At 44.7% G+C, this 19,947-nt stretch overlaps 1 long non-coding RNA gene, 2 other non-coding genes and 3 pseudogenes across 5 annotated transcripts in view, besides 2 other annotated features; 5 read left to right on the top strand and 1 right to left on the bottom strand.

Moving 5' to 3' along the window:
- Positions 344 to 6,294, top strand: CCZ1P-OR7E38P (CCZ1P-OR7E38P readthrough; annotated as a pseudogene). Of its 2 annotated transcripts, NR_002822.4 has the most exons (4): positions 344 to 567; positions 2,857 to 2,932; positions 3,650 to 3,697; positions 5,725 to 6,294. The product of NR_002822.4 is annotated as a CCZ1P-OR7E38P readthrough, transcript variant 1 (transcript). The 2 variants fall into 2 exon arrangements; NR_148008.1 differs by lacking the exon at positions 3,650 to 3,697.
- CZ1P-ASNS (CZ1P-ASNS readthrough) overlaps positions 344 to 19,947 on the top strand; it is a 120,242-nt gene continuing 100,638 nt past the window's right edge. Inside the window, exon 1 of the long non-coding RNA NR_147989.1 lies at positions 344 to 567. This is a non-coding gene — a long non-coding RNA (CZ1P-ASNS readthrough). The remainder of the gene's footprint in view (positions 568 to 19,947) is intronic.
- CCZ1P1 (CCZ1 pseudogene 1) lies at positions 381 to 3,697 on the top strand (annotated as a pseudogene).
- Positions 439 to 748: a silencer, noted in NCBI's record as "silent region_18389". NCBI's record gives its function as "represses an Ori minimal core promoter by ATAC-STARR-seq in GM12878 lymphoblastoid cells {active_cell/tissue: GM12878}" and the evidence as "EXISTENCE:reporter gene assay evidence [ECO:0000049][PMID:35858748]".
- On the top strand, positions 5,625 to 6,610 carry OR7E38P (olfactory receptor family 7 subfamily E member 38 pseudogene; annotated as a pseudogene).
- Positions 8,221 to 8,297, top strand: MIR5692C2 (microRNA 5692c-2). Its single transcript, NR_049868.1, has one exon. It is a non-coding gene; the product is annotated as a microRNA 5692c-2 (primary transcript).
- MIR5692A1 (microRNA 5692a-1) lies at positions 8,976 to 9,044 on the bottom strand. Its single transcript, NR_049875.1, has one exon. It is a non-coding gene; the product is annotated as a microRNA 5692a-1 (primary transcript).
- Positions 15,259 to 15,759: an enhancer, noted in NCBI's record as "H3K4me1 hESC enhancer chr7:97586255-97586755 (GRCh37/hg19 assembly coordinates)". NCBI's record gives its function as "activates a minimal SCP1, AML or CMV promoter by ChIP-STARR-seq in primed H9 embryonic stem cells {active_cell/tissue: H9 hESC(primed)}" and the evidence as "EXISTENCE:reporter gene assay evidence [ECO:0000049][PMID:30033119]".

Below are 19,947 nucleotides of genomic sequence, written 5' to 3'. Positions count from 1 at the left end.
AAAATAAAACTGGCCTTGATGGCGCGCCCTGTAATCCTAGCTACTTGGGAGGCTGAGGCAGGGGGATGGCTTGAGTCCCAGAGGTTGAGGCTGCAGTGAGCTGAGATCCCGCCGCTACACTCCAGACTGGATGACAAACTGAGATCCTATCAAAAAACAAACAAACAAACAAACAGTGCCCCACTCAGTTTTTCCTGAAACGCGCAACCCTCGCCCGTAGCCAGGAGAAAACTCCGCGAGCCAGCAAAACACAAACTCGGCCGGGAAACAGACAACAAGGCCACCCTGGGGTGCCAGAAGAGGACGCTGCGAGGCGGGTTCTTCTTCCTGGTCGGCGGCGAGCGCTTCCGGGGTGGTGGCGAGGGAGGCGGAAGTGCGGTGTTCTAGCAGGTGGCTGCTTTCTCTGGGCTGGCTGTGGGAGGCTCCCGAGGTGGGGACCCGGCCGGGATGGCTGCAGCGGCGGCCGGGGCTGGGAGCGGGCCCTCGGCGGCCCAGGAGAAGCAGTTCCTGCCGGCGCTGCTGAGTTTCTTCATCTACAACCCGCGCTTCTGGCCGCGGGAAGGAGAGGTATGCGGAGGGGGCGGCGCGTGAGCGGGCGGCGTCGGTGCCCCCCAGGGGCGGCGGCCCTGTGGTTCTGCCCACCTCGAGCGGCACTGACCTAGCCTGCGTTGTGCCAGGTGCTGAGCCCGGGCCGGGGGCTGCGGCGGGGACCTGACAGCAGGCAGGGACCGCTTCAGGTCCTGGGTCGATGTCTGTCTATGGAATAAAGCCCCGTCAGGTCTGTATCACTCCACACCCCAGGTTCAGTCTCTTTGCGCTTTGCGTTGCGTCAGTTCTGGGAAATTAAAATTGAACTTGGCTTTGTTAAGTGGGTAGTCCCCAACTAGAAGCGTGGAAGCAGAGTGGCAGACGCTAGCCTTCAAATGATGCAAGCCTGGAGGACCCTGTAAAAGTTTTCACCCAAATGAGGAAAATTAGTTCCGGGACACGTGTGTGTGTGTGTGTGTAAGTTAGTTACGGGACACGTGTGTGTGTGTGTAAGTTCCGGGACACGTGTGTGTGTGTGTGTGTTTTCTGAGGTGGGGACGGCGACTTTCTCAAAGGATGTCCGGAGCTGTGTTTCGTTACCAGCAAGTCAGAGTTCTTTTAAAGACTGTCCAGGCTGGGCGCTGTAACTCACGCCTGTAATCCCAGCACTTTAGGAGGCCGAGATGGGAGGATTACTTGGAGCCAGGAGTTCCAGACCAGCCTGGGCAACAAAGCAAGACCCCCGACTCTACCAAAAAAAAAAAAAAAAAAAAAAAAAAAATCGAAAAATGAGCCAGGTGTGGTGGCACGCACCTGTATTTCCAGCTACTCAGGAGGCTGAGGCCAGAGGATCGCTTGTGATTGAGGCTGCAGGTGAGCTGTAATTGGGCCACTGCACTACAGCCTGGGTGACAGAGACCCCATCTCCAGAAAAAGAAAAAAAAAAAAAACTCGTCAGTTCAAATGCTTGGGAACTGGCTGGATTTAATTTTCAGGGAGCTATGTGTCTGCAGATGTGCAAACCTTTATTTCTTACAAGCATTGGTGTATTACAGATTAGCTCTAGGAAAGAAATATGGAGACTTGAGTTTTCATAAAAATTACCTGGTGCTACTTCAGATGTGACTTATTGACTATCGAAATTGCCTTCTGACTGTTGGGCAGTATTTGCACAATGATGAGATAATTCCTGTTATTATTTTAAATAGAGACGAGGTCTCACGGTGTTGCCCAGGCTGGTCTTGAACTCCTGAGCTCAGGTGATCCTCTCACCTCGGCCTCTCAAAGTGCTAGGATTACAATTCCTGTTTTTCTAAAACCGGTTTTTCTTTGGTTTTGTCATTAGCATGTGCGACACAAGAGGTCGACACTGAACTTAGCGTTTTCAATAGCTAAGATGAAATGTTTCTATTCATGATGTGCTTCTGTTTCCTCATGTTTCAGGAGGAAAATAAGATTTTATTTTATCATCCAAATGAGGTAGAAAAGAAGAAGAGGCCGGGCTCGGTGGCTCAAGCCTGTAATCCCAGCACTTTGGGAGGCTGAGGCGGGCGGATCACGAGGTCAGGAGATCGAGACCATCCTGGCTAACACAATGAAACCCCGTCAATACTAAAAATACAAAAAAATTAGCCGGGCGTGGTGGCGGGCGCCTGTAGTCCCAGCTACTCGGGAGGCTGAGGCAGGAGAATGGCGTGAACCCGGGAGGCGGAGCTTGCAGTGAGCGGAGATCGCACCACTGCACTCCAGCCTGGGCGACAGAGCGAGACTCCGTCTCCAAAAAAAAAAAAAAAATAGAAAAGAATGAGAAGATTAGAAATGTCGGATTGTGTGAAGCTATTGTACAGTTTACAAGGTAATACCTCTAAGTGTGCCTTTAGAGTTCAGTGAATTCTTAAAACTGCTGCTGGAGAATTGTCCCAAACATATTTTTTTAACCTTTGTAGGACCTTTAGCCCATCAAAACCTGCAAAATCTTTACATACGCAGAAGAACAGACAGTTCTTTAATGAACCAGAAGAAAATTTCTGGATGGTCATGGTATTTACATACACAGTGTATCTTTCTGAAATTGTATGGTGAAGTTATGGGTGATCTTTACTATTCAGAATTTAGCAAAGTTCTCTGGCTATTGCATCCAAGTAAAATTAAAATAAAATTCGTTGCAGTTTTAAAATCAAGTTCTTCCTGTTTGCTTTATTCGTTCTTGGGGCTGCTTTAAGAAGCTGTGTTTCTGGTGCTGTAGCATGTGCAAAGTTTTTAAACTAAGGCAAAATAAACATGGTCTAATGAATTCATTGTATAATTTCAGTTTATCAAACTTTGTAGGTTGTTCGGAATCCTATAATTGAAAAACAGTAAAGATGGAAAACCAGTTATTGAATATCAAGAGGAGGAGTTGTTGGTAACGTGTCATTGTTTATTTATTTATTTATTTATTTAAATGTATTGCTGAGTATGTTGAATGCCTTCCTTGGTCAGATTTAAACTAGGTGGCTTTTGTGGAAGTTTCTCGGGGTATATAGCACAGGTTTATGTTTATCATTTACATGAGCATAATCTTTTTAAAATGTATATGCACCCTATCTCACTAATACCTTCTATTCCTCATCTGTATTGAAAGCCCTCCTAAAGTAAGGCTTACTGATTCACAAATTAGAGTTTAAACACTTCTGGCTGGGAACAGTGGCTCACACCTGTAATCCTAGTACTTTGGGAGGTCGAGGCAGGCAGATCACTTGAGGTCAGGGGTTCAAGACCAGCCTGGCCAATGTGGCGGAACCCTGTCTCTACTAAAACTACAAAAACTGGCCAGGGATGGTGGCGCACACGTGTCATCCCAGCTACTTGGGAGGCTGAGGCAGGAGAATCGCTTGAACCGGGGACGCAAAGGTTGCAGTGAGCCAAGATTGCATCACTGCACTCCAACCTGGACAACAGAGCGAGACTCCATCTCCAAAAAAAAAGAACGCAAACACTTTTTATCAGCACACGACTATGGTGGGACCAAGTTTGTAAACATTATCCTGTTTGGCCAAGAGTCAGTGTACCTTTGCCATCTATCCAGTAGACATTGTTTTTCCCTTGAACTGATATGTGTGCTATGTTTTCGTGTGTGTAGGACAAGGTTTATAGCTCGGTGCTGCAGCAGTGCTACAGCATGTACAAGGTAAGCATGGCATTCTTTCTCAACTCAGAGTCCAACCACTTACGCCTATCTCTAGGCTCAGGGTTGTTTAAAGAGAAATCTGTAAATGACTGCAAAGTGACTCTGTATTTGTCTTAGAGAAGAAAATAATGAGGCCTTTGAAACAGGTAGTGAGGTTTATGCCTACATTTATTCAGTAAGTATTGAACTCCCTTCTCTTTTCTCAGCCTTATAGTAGGAATGTGTCCCCATTGATGAAAAAGTGTGTCTATGTGCTCAAGGAATGTACAGAATGCAGATAATTTTATGATTTAAAAGTTTCAGCGAGACAGGGCACTGTGAATCACACCTGTAATTTCAGCATTCTGGGAGGCTAAGGCGGGAGGATTGCTTGAGCCCAGGAGTTCAGGACCAATCTGGGCAATATAGGAAGGCCCCATCTCTACAAAAAATTTTATAAAAGTTAGCCATGTATCATGGTGCATGCCTGTAGTCCCAGCTACCTGGGAGGCTGAGGTGGGAGGATCGCTTGAGCCTCAGAGGTCGAGGCTGCAGTGAACTGTGATTGCGCCACTGCACTCTACCCTGGGCAACAGAGCGAGATTCCATCTCAAAAAAAAAAAAGGATAAAAAGTTTGATGATTCCATTCATTGAGAGGAAACTGAAAAATAACAAAAATGTGGGTGATATTCTGTATGTAAATTGAAACTTCAGGATAAGTTGAAATTTTTGAAAGATGCCTAAAGCAATTAGGTGGTTTCATAAATGAGACAACATCACTTAATGGTAGTTTTTGTAACATATTTTTAACTTAAGTTTTCTCATGTAAATAGTCTCTGTATTGAAAAGAACTGGGAGATTTAATAAGCTGAATTAATAATTCCCTAGAGCCTATATCTTGCTTGGCACATAGGAGATAGCCAAAGTCAACATCTATGTGAATTCTTGAATTCACACTTCCTTGGTTCACAAAAATTGGCTGTCATAAGTGTAACTTTGACTTACTTGATTCCTCTTGTTTTTTTGTTTTTTGAGACGGAGTTTTGCTCTTGTTGCCCAGGCTGGAGTGCAGTGGTGTGATCTCGGCTCACTGTAGCCTCTGCGTCCCAGGTTCAAGCCATTCTCCCGCCTCAGCTTCCCGAGTAGCTGGGACTACAGGCGCGCATCACCATACCGGGCGAAGTTTTTGTATTTTCAGTAGAGGCGGGGTTTCGCCATGTTGGCCAGGATGGTCTTGATCTCCTGACCCCGTGATCCGCCCTCCTCAGCCTCCCAAAGTGCTGGGACTACAGGCGTGAGCCACCGCATCTGGCCAAACTTTCTGATGAAAACTCTAAGTCCACCTAAGCTAAGGACAGGAGTTACAGCTTCCATGAATTTTAAAACCAGACCCACCGATTTGAGTAAGCAATTACTCTCTTGAAGGAGAAAAGTCAGAAAACATAATGATGAAATCACTAGGACCTAACTGGCATGTGGAATTATTTTCTGCTTATGAACTATCAACTTTAATTTCATTTCCAGATGACATGGTCTCAGCTGTTCTACAGTGTTTATAAATGTTCTAAATCAAGGGAATTCATCAATCTAGTAGAATAAAATATTTGAGTTCTTAATTTCCTTTAATTAGGATAACCTTTTTCTTCAAGTGAAGAGAATGGTTTTATTACATAGTTTTCTTCGGAAAAGATAGGCTGTATTTTCTAGCAGTTACGAATTTGTTATGTATGATGATCTGGTTCTTGGAACATTCTTGAATCTAGTGTCTCTAAGGCAGGTGTGTACAGCAAGAAGTGAATAACACAGAAATCAATGATGAAAGCATTAGAAGACAATTGAGTCTGTCAGAACTGCAAAATATTGCTGAGTGTGGATTGCTCTGAAATCTGAAAACATTACTTGTGAATTGCTTCTATTCAAAATGCAGACACAATGCCAGGTGTTGGTTTACTTGTTTCCCATTTTTCAACCCTCGTTTCTAGGCAAAGGTGTCCAAATTATGCAGACCCACAGAATCTAACAGATGTCTCTATATTCCTCCTCCTAGAAGTCTCAGGGGATCCAGAACTGCAGCCAGTCCTTGCTGGGCTGTTCCTGTCCATGTGCCTGGTCACGGTGCTGGGGAACCTGCTCATCATCCTGGCCATCAGCCCTGACTCCCACCTCCACACCCCCATGTACTTCTTCCTCTCCAACCTGTCCTTGCCTGACATCGGTTTCACCTCCACCACGGTCCCCAAGATGATTGTGGACATCCAGTCTCACAGCAGAGTCATCTCCTATGCAGGCTGCCTGACTCAGATGTCTCTCTTTGCCATTTTTGGAGGCATGGAAGAGAGACATGCTCCTGAGTGTGATGGCCTATGACTGGTTTGTAGCCATCTGTCACCCGCTATATCATTCACCATCATGAACCCGTGTTTCTGTGCCTTTCTAGTTTTGTTGTCTTTTTTTTTCTCAGTCTTTTAGACTCCCAGCTGCACAACTTGATTGCCTTACAAGTGACCTGCTTCAAGGATGTGGAAATTCCTAATTTCTTCTGTGACCCTTCTCAACTCTCCCATCTTGCATGTTGTGACACCTTCACCATTAACATAATCATGTATTTCCCTGCTGCCATATTTGGTTTTCTTCCCATCTTGGGGACCCTTTTCTCTTTCTCTAAAATTGTTTCCTCCATTCTGAGGGTTTCTTCATCAGGTGGGAAGTATAAAGCCCTCTCCACCTGTGGGTCTCGCCTGTCAGTTGTTTGCTGAGTTTATGGAACAGGCGTTGGAGGGTACCTCAGTTCAGATGTGTCATCTTCCCCCAGAAAGGGTGCAGTGGCCTCAGTGATGTACACACTGGTCACCCCCATGCTGACCCCCTTCATCTACAGCCTGAGAAACAGGGATATGAAAGGTGTCCTGCGGCAGCCGCACGGCAGCACAGTCTAATCTCAATATCTTATCTGTTCCATTCCTTTGTAGTGTGGGTTCAAAAAGGCAGCAAGGTCAAATAATGATAACACAGGGTGAACACCTACTGTGATATTAGGAGTAATACCTCCCTAGGATATAAAGAATACTGTCACACAGTATACACAAAAGGGGTATAACCACTGTGATATTAGAAGCAATATCTCCCTATAATATGATGAAAATTATCACAGGGTATGCCCACTGTGTGATCTTAGGAGTAATCTTTACCCTGGATATTATGATTAACATCAAGGGTGTACACACCCGGGGTACACGCACTGTGATATCAGGAGTTGTATCTCCCTAGGATATTATGAATCATATCACAGGGTATACACTATGTGTGTACATCCACTGATATTTCAAGTCATATCTCTCTATGAGATTACAAATAATATCAAAAGGTGTACACCCCCGTGACCTATTAGGAGTAACGTCCTTCCAGGGTATTACAGATAACGTCACAAGGTGAACACATTTTGTGACATTTTGTACACCCTTTGTGACATTGAAAGAAACATCCCCCTAGGATATTACGAGTAATGACAGGCGGTGTACACACACGGTGTACACCGTCTGTGCCATCAGGAGTAACATTCCCCTAGGATATTATGAATAATACCACAGCAGGTGTACACACATGGTGTACACCCCATGTGACATTAGGAGGAACATGCCCCTAGGATATTAGGAATAGTATCACAGGTGTTGAATATGCATGATATACACCCCTGGTGACATTAAAAGTAACAAGCCCTTAGGATATTATGAATAATATCACAGGGAGTACACCCCATGTGACATTAAAAGTGACATCCCCCGAGGATATGATGAATAATATCAGAGGGTGTACATGCATTGTGACCTTAGTAACGTCTCTAGGATATTATAAATCGTATCACAGGGTGTACACGCATTGTGACATTGGTAGTAACATCCCGCTAGGATATGACGAGTAATGTCACAGGGTGTACACCCCCTGTGACAATAGTAACATTCCCCTAGAATATGACGAATAATATCACAGGAGGTACAGCCCCTGTGATTTACGAGTAACATTTCTATATAATATTACACGTCATAGCACTGTGTGACTCTGTGTACACCCTGTATGACATTAGGAGTAACATCCCACAAAACAATTACGAATAATATCACAAGGTGAACACCCTCTGTGACATGAGGAATAACGTAGTTTTAGGATATTATGAATGATATGACAAGGTGTACACACCCTGTAATGTTAGGAGAAATAGCCGTCTAGGATATTAGGAATAATGTCACAGGGAACACACCCCCTGTGACATTAGGATAATACGAATGATATGCCAAGATGTACACGCATTGTGACATTCGTACTAATATCCCTCTGGTATACTATGAATAATATCACAGGGTGTACATCCCTGTGACATTAGGAGTAACATCCCCCTTGAATAGGAGGAATAATATCACAGGGGGTACACACCCTGTGACTTTAGGAGTATCAGCGCCCTGGAATATGAGGAATACTGTCCCAGGGTATTAACCACCTGTGACCTGAGGAGTAACATCCTGTTGGAATATTACGACTCATATCACAGTGTGTACACCAACTGTGATATTAGGAGTCCTATTTATTTTTAGGATATTAGGAATAATATCACAGTAGGTGTACACAAATAGTATGTACGCCCACGGTGATATTAAAAGTTATATCTCCCTAGGGTATTCCGAATAACATCACAGTGGGTGTACACCCACTGTGATATTTGAAGTCATATCTCCCTAAGATGATAAAAAAATCAAAGGGTGGACCCTGTCTGTGACATCAAAAGTAACATCTCTGTGGCTATTCCGAATAGCATCACAGGGTGTACACAGCCTGTGACGTTAGGAGTAGCATCCCCATAAGATATTCCGAGTAATATCACAGGGTGTACACCCCATGTGACATTAAGAGCAACATCTTCTTAGGATATTACGAACAACCTCACAGGGTGTACGCCCCCTGTGACTTTAAAAGTAACATCCCCCTAGAATATTAGGAATAATATCATGGGTGTACACCCCGTGTGACATTAGGAGTAACATCTCCCTAGGATATTACAAAGAACATCACTGGGTGTACGCCCTCTGTCTTATTAGGAGTAACATCCTTCTAGGATATGAAGAATATCACAAGGCGTACACACACTGATATTCGGAGAGATATCTCCCTAGGATATAAGGTGTATCACAGAATGTACACGCATGGTGTACACCCACTGCGACATTAAAAGCAATATCTCCCTATGAGAGTATGAGAAATATCAAAGGGAGAACACTCTCTGTGATATTAGATGTAATGTTTACCATGGATATTACAAATAATATCACAGGGTGTACACACATGAGGTACACCCACTGTGGTATTATTTGTACTGTCTTAGATATAATTCTAATATAACACGGAGAGCTATAACTCTGTAGTATCTGAGATATTACAAATAATATCACAGTCTACACATAGTGTACATAGTGTACACCCACTGTGAGATTTACAGTAAAATCTCCCTATAAGACTACAAATATTATCGAAGTGTGTGCACCCCCGTGACCTTAGGAGTAACATCCTTCTGGATATCAGGAATCATATCATGAGGCATACACACCCTGTGACATTTTGTACACTCTTTGTGACATTCAAAGTCACAGCCCCCTAGTATATTACGAATAATATCAAAGGCGGTTGATGCACACGGTGTACACATCCTGTTACATTAGGCGTAATCTTTTTCTGTGATTTATGAATATCACAGAAGGTGTACACACATGCTGTACACTCCAGGTGACATTAGGAGCAACACCCCCCCAAGATATTAGAAATAATATTACCAGGGTTGCATACACATGGTGTACTCTCCCTGTGACATTAGCAGCAACATTCCCCTAGAATATTACGAATACCATCAGAGGGGGTGTACACACATAATGTACGCACCTTGTAAAATTAGGAGTAGCATCTCCCTACGATGTTATGAATAATATCACAGAAGGTGTACGCACATGGCCTATACCCCACGTGATGTTAGGAGTTACATCTTTCTAGTATGTTAGGAATAATACCACAAAGGTGTTCACACATGGTTAACAGCATATGGAATATTAGGATTAACATCCCTCAAGAATATTACAAATAACATCACAGGGGCTGTGCACACATGGTGCACATGCCCTGTGACATTAGGAGTACATTTCCCTGGCACATTGCAAGTAATATCACAGAGTGTACACCTTCTGTGACATTTGGAGTAACATCCCCTAGGATAGTATGAATAATATCACAGGGTGTACATCCCCTGTGACCTGAGGAGTAACATCCTTCTAGGACATTGTGAATAACATCACAAAATGAATGCACAGCCCCTGTGACACGAGGAGTAACATCCACCTAGGATATTCTGAATAATATCACAGAGAGTACACCCCATGTGACAGTAGGAGAAACCTCCCCCGAGGATATAACGAACAAATACAGAGGATGTACACGCGTCGTGTCACTAGCATTAACATCCATTTAGGATATTACGAATATTATCACAGTGTGAACGCCCCCTGTAATATTAGGAGTAACATCCCCCTACAATATTGGGCACCATATCATACGGTGTACACCCCCTGTGACATTAGAGGTAACATTTCATTAGGTTATGATGAATAATATTACAAGGTGTAAGGCCCCTGCGACATTTGGAGTAACATTTCCATAAAATATTACGAATAATATCACTGTTTGTACACCACGGGTGACATTAGGAGTCCCAGCCTCCAAAATTATTATGAATAACTTCACAGGGCGTACACCCTCTGTGACATTAGGAGTAACATCTTTCTAAAATATGACGAATAAAATCAAAAAGTGTACACCCCATGTGACATTAGAAGCAACATTGCCCGAGGATATAAGAAATAATATCAGATTGTGTACGTGCATTGTGACATCAGTAGTAACATCCCTTTAGGGTATGACGAGTATTATCAGAATGTGAATACCATCTGTAACATTAGGAGTAACATCACCCTACAACATCGGGAATAATACCACAGGGTGTACACCACCTGTGATATTAGTGGTAATATTTCTTTAAGATATTATGAATAATATCACGGGGTGTACAGCCCCTGTGAGATTAGGACTAACATATCCAAAAAAGCTTGACAAATCATATCACGGTTTATACACCAAGTGTGACATTAGGAGTAACATCCCCCAAAACTATTATGAATAACTTCACAGATTGTACACGCTCTGTGATATTAGGGGTTCACATCTTCCTAGAATGTGAAGAATAACATCACAGGAGGAACACCCCCGTGATATGAAGGGTAACATCACTCTAGGATATTACGAATAATATAACAAAGTGTACCCAATTTGTATGGTAGGAGTAACATCCCCTGGGATACTACAAATCATAGCACAGAAAGCGCAGCCCCTGTGACAACAGGAGGAACATCCCCTTAGGATATTATGAATAACATCACAAGGTGTACACACATTGTGACATTAGTAACAATAGCCAGCTAGTAGATGGTGAATAATATCACAGCGTGTACACATTTGCAACATGAGGAGTCACATCCCCCTAGAATATGAAGAAGAATATCACAGGGTGTACACACCCTGCGACTTTACGATAATCATCCCCCTGGATGACTACAAATAATTTCACAGGATGTGAAACCCCTGTGACAATAGGAATAATATACTTCTACGATATGACAAATAATATCACAGTTTGTACACCCACTGTGATATTAAAAGTTATACCTCCCTCAGATATGGTGAATAATATCACAGGGTGTACCCTCTGTGGGATACTAGCAGTCATGTTTACCATGGATATTACAAAGAATATCACAGGTGTAAACACATGGGGTACGCCCACTGTGATATTAGGAGTTATGTCTCTCGAAGATATTAGAAATAATATCCCAGTGGGTGTACCCCATGTGTGTACACCCACTATGATACTTTAAGTAATATCTCTCTATAAGATTACAAATAATATCGAAGGGTGTACAGCTCCCGTGACATTAGGAGTAACATCCCCCTACAATATTGGGAACAATATCACATGGTGTACACCCCTGTAACGTTAGGGGTAACATCCCCCCAGAATATTACTAATAATATCACAAGGTGTACACGCATTGTGACATTAGTAGTAATATCCAGCTAGCATATTTTCAATAATATCACAGAAGGAACACACGTGTGACATTAAGAGTAACATCCCCCGAGAATACTTAGAATAATATCACAGGGTGTACACCCCCTGTGACATTAGGAGTATCATCTCGCTAGAATATTATGAATAATGTCACTGGGTGTTATCTTCTGTGACATTAGGAGTATAGACCCCTGGAAAATTATGAATACTTTCACAGGGTCTACACCCCTGTGACATTAGGAGTAACATCCTTCTAGAATACCACGAATCATATCACAATGTGTACACCCCCTGAGTCATTAAAAGTAAAACTGTCCTAGGACATTACGAAATAGAACACAGGGAGTACACCCCGTGTGACATTAGAAGTAACATCCCCCTAGGATATAATGAAGAATATCAGAGAATGTACCTGCATTGGGACATGAGTAGTAACATCTTAGGATAATACGAAGAATATCAAAGGGTGTACACACATTGTGAAATTACTAGTGAACTCCCGCAAGGATATTACGAATTTTATGACAGGTCCGACTCGCCCTGTGACATTAGTAGTCACCTATTCCTACAATATTATGAAGAATATTAAAGGGTGTATAGGACCTGTGACATACGAGTAATATTTCTAGAGAATATGACACGTAATATCACCGTGTGTACACCCCGTGTGACATTAGCAGTAACATCCCACAAAACTATAACGAAAAATTTGACAAGGTGTACACCCTCTGTGACATTAAAAGTAACATTTCCCTAGAATATGACGATATTATCACAGAGTGTACACCCTCTGTGATATGAGGAGTGACATCTTCTAAAAACAATACAAGGAATTTGACAGGGTGTAGAAAACCTGTGACATAAGGAGTGACATCCCCCAAGTATATTACCAATAATATCAAAGGGAAAATACACCGTGTGACAATAAACTAACTTCCCCTTAGGAGACTAAGAATAACACCCCAAGGTGTACACACATTGTGACATTCTTTTTATTGTCCCGCTAGGATATTATGAATAATACAACAGGGTACAGAGTCCTGTGAAATCAGGATTAACATTCCCCTAAAATATTACGAACATCGCAGGGTGTATCCCTCCTGTGATTTTAACAGTCGCATCTTCCCAAAATACGGAAAATAATGTCCCAGGGTGTCAACCAAGTGTGGCAGTAGAGAAAATCTCCCAGGAGTAAGGTATTAATAACCCCCCACGATGCGGGCAGTAATATCGCCCCCCTCTCCCACCCTGGATATTACGATCCACATCGCAGGGGGGCGAGGGTGCCCACCGAGATGCGGTGAGTAATATAAGCCCCCTCTCCCCCCCTGGATATTAGGACCCACATCGCAGGGAGGCGGAGGCCCCCCTCGATGCGGGAAATAATCTCACCCCCCTCTCTCCCCTGGATATGACGATCCATATCTCATGGGGGCAGGCGTCCCCGCCACTCGGGGAGTAATATCACCCCCCATTCCCCACATGGATACGAGGATCCACAACGCAGGGGGGCGGGCGACCCCCCCCCCATGCGGGGAGTAATATCACCCCCATCTCCCACCCTGGACAAGACGATCCACATCGCAGGGGGACGGGCGCCCCCGCGACGCGGGGAGTCATATCAACCCCCTCTCACACCCTGGATATGACGATTCACATGGCAGGGGGGCGAGGCGCCCCCCGCGATGTGGGGAGTAAGAGCCAGCCCCTCTTCCCCCCCTGGTTTTTAGGATCCGCGGTGGACTCACAGCCTGTTTACCATATTGTGAGCAATATCACCTCCTTGTCTGGAGATTATGATCTGTTTCACAGACGGGTGTACACCCGTCTGTATTGGGAGTAATATCATCCTCTTCCTCCCTGAATATTAAGAAGAGTATCACAGGGGTGTTTCCACTCCCTCGGATATCGCGTGTCATATCCTCCTCTCCCACGTTGCAATTAGAAACAATATCAGTGGGGGCGTGTCCAGCTTCTGTGATATTGAAAGTAATGTCATCCTCTTCCCTCCAGGATCATGGGAACAATATCCCTGGGGGGTGTCCACTTTCTGCCATATACGTAGTCATATCACCCCCTCCGCCTTGGAATATTATGAAGGACCATCTCACACTGGGGTGTATACTTTCTGCGATATTGGGAGTAATATCAACCTCTCGGCCTCTGAATATTAGGAAGAATATCACAGGGTGGGTGTATACCTCCTGCTCTATTATGGGGAGTCATATCTATCTATTATGGGGAGTAATATCATCCTCTCCCTTTCAGGATATTAATAACAATTTCACAGGCTGAGTGAACACAGCCTGCGATGCTGGAATTATTATCACTCTCTCCCCCTCGGGATACTAGGAAGAATATCACAGAAGAGTTGTACACTCCCTGCGATATTGGGAGTAATATCATATGCTTCTTCCGTGAATATTAGGAGCGATATCACTCGGTGGCTGTACATTGATTGCTATGTTGGCAGTCATGTCATACTCTACCCGCTGGGTATTAGGATCGGTGTCACAGGGTGAGTGTACACCTACTGCGATATGAAAATTAATATCATGCTCTCCATCCCTGGATATTAGGAACAATATCACAGGTAGGTGTACACCCTCTGTGGTGTTAGCAGTAATAATATTCTGAATTATTAAACATCAGTCTTATTAATAATTATCAATGGTAATATTAATTAACAGTATAACGTTATTAATCATTAATGATTATTTCAAGATATGATTATGCATGATTAAAATTAATTATTAATGTCACTTTTTATATTAGTTATTAATCTTAATATTAATTATTGTTTTATTACCAACATCACTTATGATTGAAGTAACATTAATTAGTGATATCATTATTTTATTATTAATAGTGATATTACTATTATTTATAGTAACCATTAATGTTTTTCATCCGTACTAAGTTTTACTGTCTCTACTGTAATTATTAATATTGATGATTACTATTAATTGTTATTATATTTATTAATATTAATAATTAATAGAACTGTTCCCGATATCCGTGGGAGAGAGGATATTACTCCCAATATCGCAGAAAGTGTACACCCCTCTATGATGTTACTCCTAATAGCCGGGGGGTAGAGGATGACATTATTGAAAATAGCGCAGTGGGTGTACATCCCTTCGGTCATCTTGTTCCTAATATCGTGGGGTGGGAGCGGATGGTATGACTCCCAATATCGCAGGGGGCAGAGACCTCCCCTGTGATACTGTCCCTAACATCCAAAGGTGGAGAGGATGATATTTCTTCCAATTTCGCCGGGGGTGCACAACACCCTTGTGATATTGATCCTAATATCCAGGCGGCGAGAGGATGATATTAGTCTGAATATTGCAGGATGTGTACACTCCCTAGGGATATTGTTCCTAATATCCAGGGACGGAGAGGATGATATCACTCCCAATATAGCCGGGGGTGTACACCCCTTGTGTGACATTGCTCCTAAAGCGCAGCGGGGGAGAGGAAGATATTACAGCCAATATCGCAGGGGATGTACACCCCCTTGTGACATTCTTCCTTCTATCCTGGGAGGGAGAGGAACATACTAGCGGCAATGTCGCAGGGGCTGTACACACTCACTGTGATATTGTTCCGAATATCCGGAGGGGGAGAAAATGATGTTACTTCCAATATCGCAGGGGGTGTACATCCTCCTGTGATATTGTTTCTTATATTCAGCGGGAGAGGATGATATTACTCCGAATATCGCAGGGGTTGTACACACCTCCTGCGATACCGGGAGTAAGAGCCAGCCCCTCTCCCCTCCTGGCTCTTAGGAGCCCCATCGCAGGGGTTGAGGCCCCACCCCGGGGTACGGGGAGTAAGAGCCAGCCCCTATCACCCCCTGGCTCTTAGGACCCCCATCGCAAGGGGGTGAGGCCCCCGCGATGCGGGGAGTCATATCACCCCCCTCTGGATATGACGATTCACGTCGCAGGGGGGCGGGCACCCCCTGCGATGCGGGGTGTCACATCGCCCCCCTCTCCCCCCCTGGATATGACGATCCACGGTGATCACACAGCGTGTTCACGTTATTGTCAGTAATATCTTCTCCGCCTCTGGAAATTACCAACTATGTCGCAGACGGGTGCACATCCTCTGCGCTCTTTGGAGTAATAGCATCCTCTTTCCCCTTGATATTAAGAACAATATCACAGGAGTGTTTTTACCCCTAGGGGCATTCCGTGTAGTATCATCCTCTCCCACGTTGAAATTAGGAACAATATCACTGGGGGCGTGTCCACCCCATGCGATATTGAAAGTAACATCATCCTCTTCTCTCCTGGATCATGGGAACCGTATCACTGGGGTTGTGTACACTTTCTGCGGTATTGGGAGTAAGATCATCCTCTCCGCCTTGGAATATTAAGGACCATATCACAGTGGGGCTGTACACACCCTGTGCTATGAAGAAGAGTATTATCCTCCCCTGCCCTGCACATTGGAAAAAATATCACAGAGTGGGTGTACACCTCCTGCGATGGGGGGGTGATATCATCTCTTCTTCTGGATAATAGCAACAATAGTACACAGGTTTGTACACTTTCTGTGATATTGGGAGTAATATCAACCTCTCCACCTTTGAATATTAAAAACAATATCACAGACTGGATGTACACCCCCTGCGATATTGGGAGTCATATCAGCCTCTCCTCTCCGTGGATGTTAGGAATAATATCCCAGGATGGGTGTACACCTCCTGCTGTATGGGGAGTCATATCGTCCTCTCACTTCCTGGCTGCTAGGAACAATATGAGAGGGTGGGTGTACACAGCCTGCGATATTGCGAGTAATATCACCCTCTCCCCCTCCGGATATTAGGAACAATGTCACAGAAGAGGTGTACACTTCCTGAGATACTGGGAGTAATAGCATTCTCTTCTTCCGGGAATATTAGGAGGAATATCACCGGGTGGATGCACACCCACTGCTATCTTGGGAGTAACGTCATACGCCACCCCCTGGAGATGATATTCGGATCAATATCACCGGGTGGGTGTACACCTACTGCGATATTGAACGTCATATCATGCTCTCTCCCTCCCTGGACATTAGGAACAATATCACTGGTGGGTGTACACCCACTGAGGTATTAGGGATAATATTCATATTAATTCTTCCTCATTTATAACATGAATATGTATTACCAATATTAATATTAATATTAAGAAATCATTGCTAAAAATAGTGTTCAGATTATTAATATTACTGTTAATTATTAGGAGCTAATATGACAGTTTTCTAATGAATAAGATCAATATCACTCTTTAAGACCAGGCGTCATTAATCATTAATATTCATCATTTATTGTTATCGTGAGTATAACTCTTTAATACGAATTATCATTATTATCGGTATTGATTTTAAGAATTATATGATCAGTTATTAATATTGATAATTATCAGTATCAATTAATAATTGAGATTATTAATTGCGGTAAGTAACATTGCGCCATTCCACCCCTCCCTCGGCAACCCGTTTACGACCCAAAACAGGGATCCAAACGCCCCTGAGAGAGCAGCGGTATACTGGGAGAGAGGAGGATGGTCACGTGGTGGAGAGACGTGTTTTTGTGTACCAGCCCTTCACCTTTGCCGACCTTCTCAACTGGGAAAACAATACCCCGTCCTAGAGCGAAAAGCCGCAAGCACTAATTGATTTGCTCCAAACTGTTATCCAGACCCACAACCCCACCTGGGCTGATCGCCACCGGTTGCTCATGTTACTCTTTAAGAGAGATGAAAGGCAAAAGGCGGAGAGGGCTCCACGTAGCAACTAAGTGGCTAGAGGAACATACACCAGCTGATTATCAAAAACCCCAAGAGTATGGAAGGACCCAGTTACCAGGAACCCACCCCCAGTTGGACCCACACGAAAGAGAGGATATGCAAAGGCTAAACTGAGACAGGGAAGCTCTCTTGGAAGGATTCAAGAGGGGAGCTCAGAAGGCCACAAACGTTAACAAGGTCTCTGAGGTCATTCAGGGAAAAGAAGAAAGTCCAGCACAATTCTACCAGAGACTGTGTGAGGCCTATGGTATGTATACTCCCCTTGATCCTGATAACCCTGAAAATCAGCGCATGATTCACATGGCTTTAGTCCGTCAAAGCGCGGAAGACGTTAGAAGAAAACTGCAGAAGCAGGCTGGGCTTGCAGGGATGAATACATCACATTGATGAGAAATAGCTAAGCAGGTGTTTGTAAACAGGGATGCAGTAAGCCGCGAGGGAAAGTGCAAAGAGAATGAAGGTCAGGCCCGGTGAAACGCTGACCTGTTTGTTAGCTGCAGCAATCAGAGCTGTCCCCTCAAAGAAGCAAGGGAAGGGGGGCCCTGGGAAAGAAACTCAGCTTGGCTGTCAGAGTTTGCAGCGTCACTAGTATGCTTATTGTAAAGAAATAGGATAGTGGAAGAACAAATGCCCTGAGCTCAAAAGAAAACAAGGTGACTCAGAGCAGGAGGCCCCGGACAAGGAGGAAGGGGCCCGGCTCAACCTGGCAGAAGGGTTATCGGACTGAGGGAAACCAGGCTCAAGTGTTCTCAAAGAGCCTCTGGTCAGAATGACAGTCGAGGGTAGAGACATTGTTTTTCTTGTAGATAGCGGTGCTGAACATTCGCTAGTAGCCGCCCCGGTCGCCCCCTTATCCAGAAAGACTATTGACGTCACCAGAGCCACGGGGGTTTCAGCAAAGCAAGCTTTCTGCTTGCCTGGGACTTGCACTGTAGGAGGACATCAAGTGATTCATCAGTTTTTGTACATGCCTGGCTGTCCCTTGCCCTTGTTGGGAAGGGACTTGCTTAGCAAGCTGAGAGCTGCTCTCTCTTTGACAGAACACAGCTCTTTGCTGCTAAAGTTACCCACCACGGGAGTCATTATGACCCTTACGGTCCCCCGAGAGGAGGAATGGAGACTTTTGTGAACTGAGCCAGGCCAAGAGAGAAGACCAGCTCTGGCTAAGCGGTGGCCAAGAGTACAGGCAGAAGACAACCCTCCAGGGTTGGCCAGTTAAGACTGGGGCCCAGCCGCTTAGGCAAAAACAGGACCCGGTCCCCAGAGAAGCTCTTCAAGGTATCCAGGTCCTTCTTAAGCACCTAAGAACTTTGGGTATGATAGTTCCTTGTCAGTCTCAACGGAACACTCCCCTCCTGCCTGTTCCCAAGCCATGGACCAAGGACTACAGGCCGGGACAGCATTCACGCTTGCTTAGTCAAGCTACCCTGACTTTCCATCCAACAGTACCTAGCCCGTCCACATTGTTGGGGTTGCTGCCAGCCGAGGACAGCTGGTTCACCTGCTTGGACCTGAGAGACGCTTTCTTTCCTATCAGATTAGCCCCGGAGAGCCAGAAGCTGTTTGCCTTTCAGTGGGAAGATCCGGAGTCAGGTGTCACTACTCAGTACACTTTGACCGAGCTTCCCCAAGAGTTCAAGAACTCCCCCACCATCTTCAGGGAGGCGTGGGCTCGAGACCTCCAGAAGTTTCCCACCAGAGACCTAGGCTGCGCGTTGCTCCGCTAGGTTGATGAGCTTTTGCTGGGACACCCCACGGCAGTCCGGTGCGCCAAGGGAATGGATTGCCCTACGCCAACACCTGGAGGACTGTGGGTGTAAGGCGTCCAAGAAGAAAGCTCAGATCTGCCTACAGCAGGTACGTTCCTTGGGATTTACTATCCGACAGGGGCAACGCAGCTTGGGATCAGAAAGAAAGCAGGTCATTTGTAATCTAGCAGAGCCTAAGAGCAGAAGGCAGGTGAGAGAATTCTTAGGAGCTGTGGGATTTGTAGACTGCGGATCCCAAACTTTGCAGTATTAGCCAAGCCTTTGTATGAGGTCACCAATGGGGCGGGGACCGGGAACTTTTTGAATGGGGATCCCAACAACAGCAAGTCTTTCATGAGTTAAAGGAGAAACTTATGTCAGCCCCAGCCCTGGGGCTACCCTATCTGACAAAGCCTTTTACATCCTATGTGTCAGAGAGAGAGAAAAGATGGCAGCCGGACTTTGAACCCAAACTGTGTGGCCCTGGCTGAGGCCGGTGGCCTACCTCTCCAAACAACTAGATGGGGTCTCTAAAGGATGGCCCCTGTGTTTGAGGGCCT

This window comes from Homo sapiens, chromosome 7, assembly GCF_000001405.40.
Source record: "Homo sapiens chromosome 7, GRCh38.p14 Primary Assembly".
NCBI classification, from domain to species: domain Eukaryota; kingdom Metazoa; phylum Chordata; class Mammalia; order Primates; family Hominidae; genus Homo; species Homo sapiens.
The sequence above is the reverse complement of the archived record's forward strand: the minus strand, read 5'-3'. Positions and strand labels throughout refer to the sequence as shown.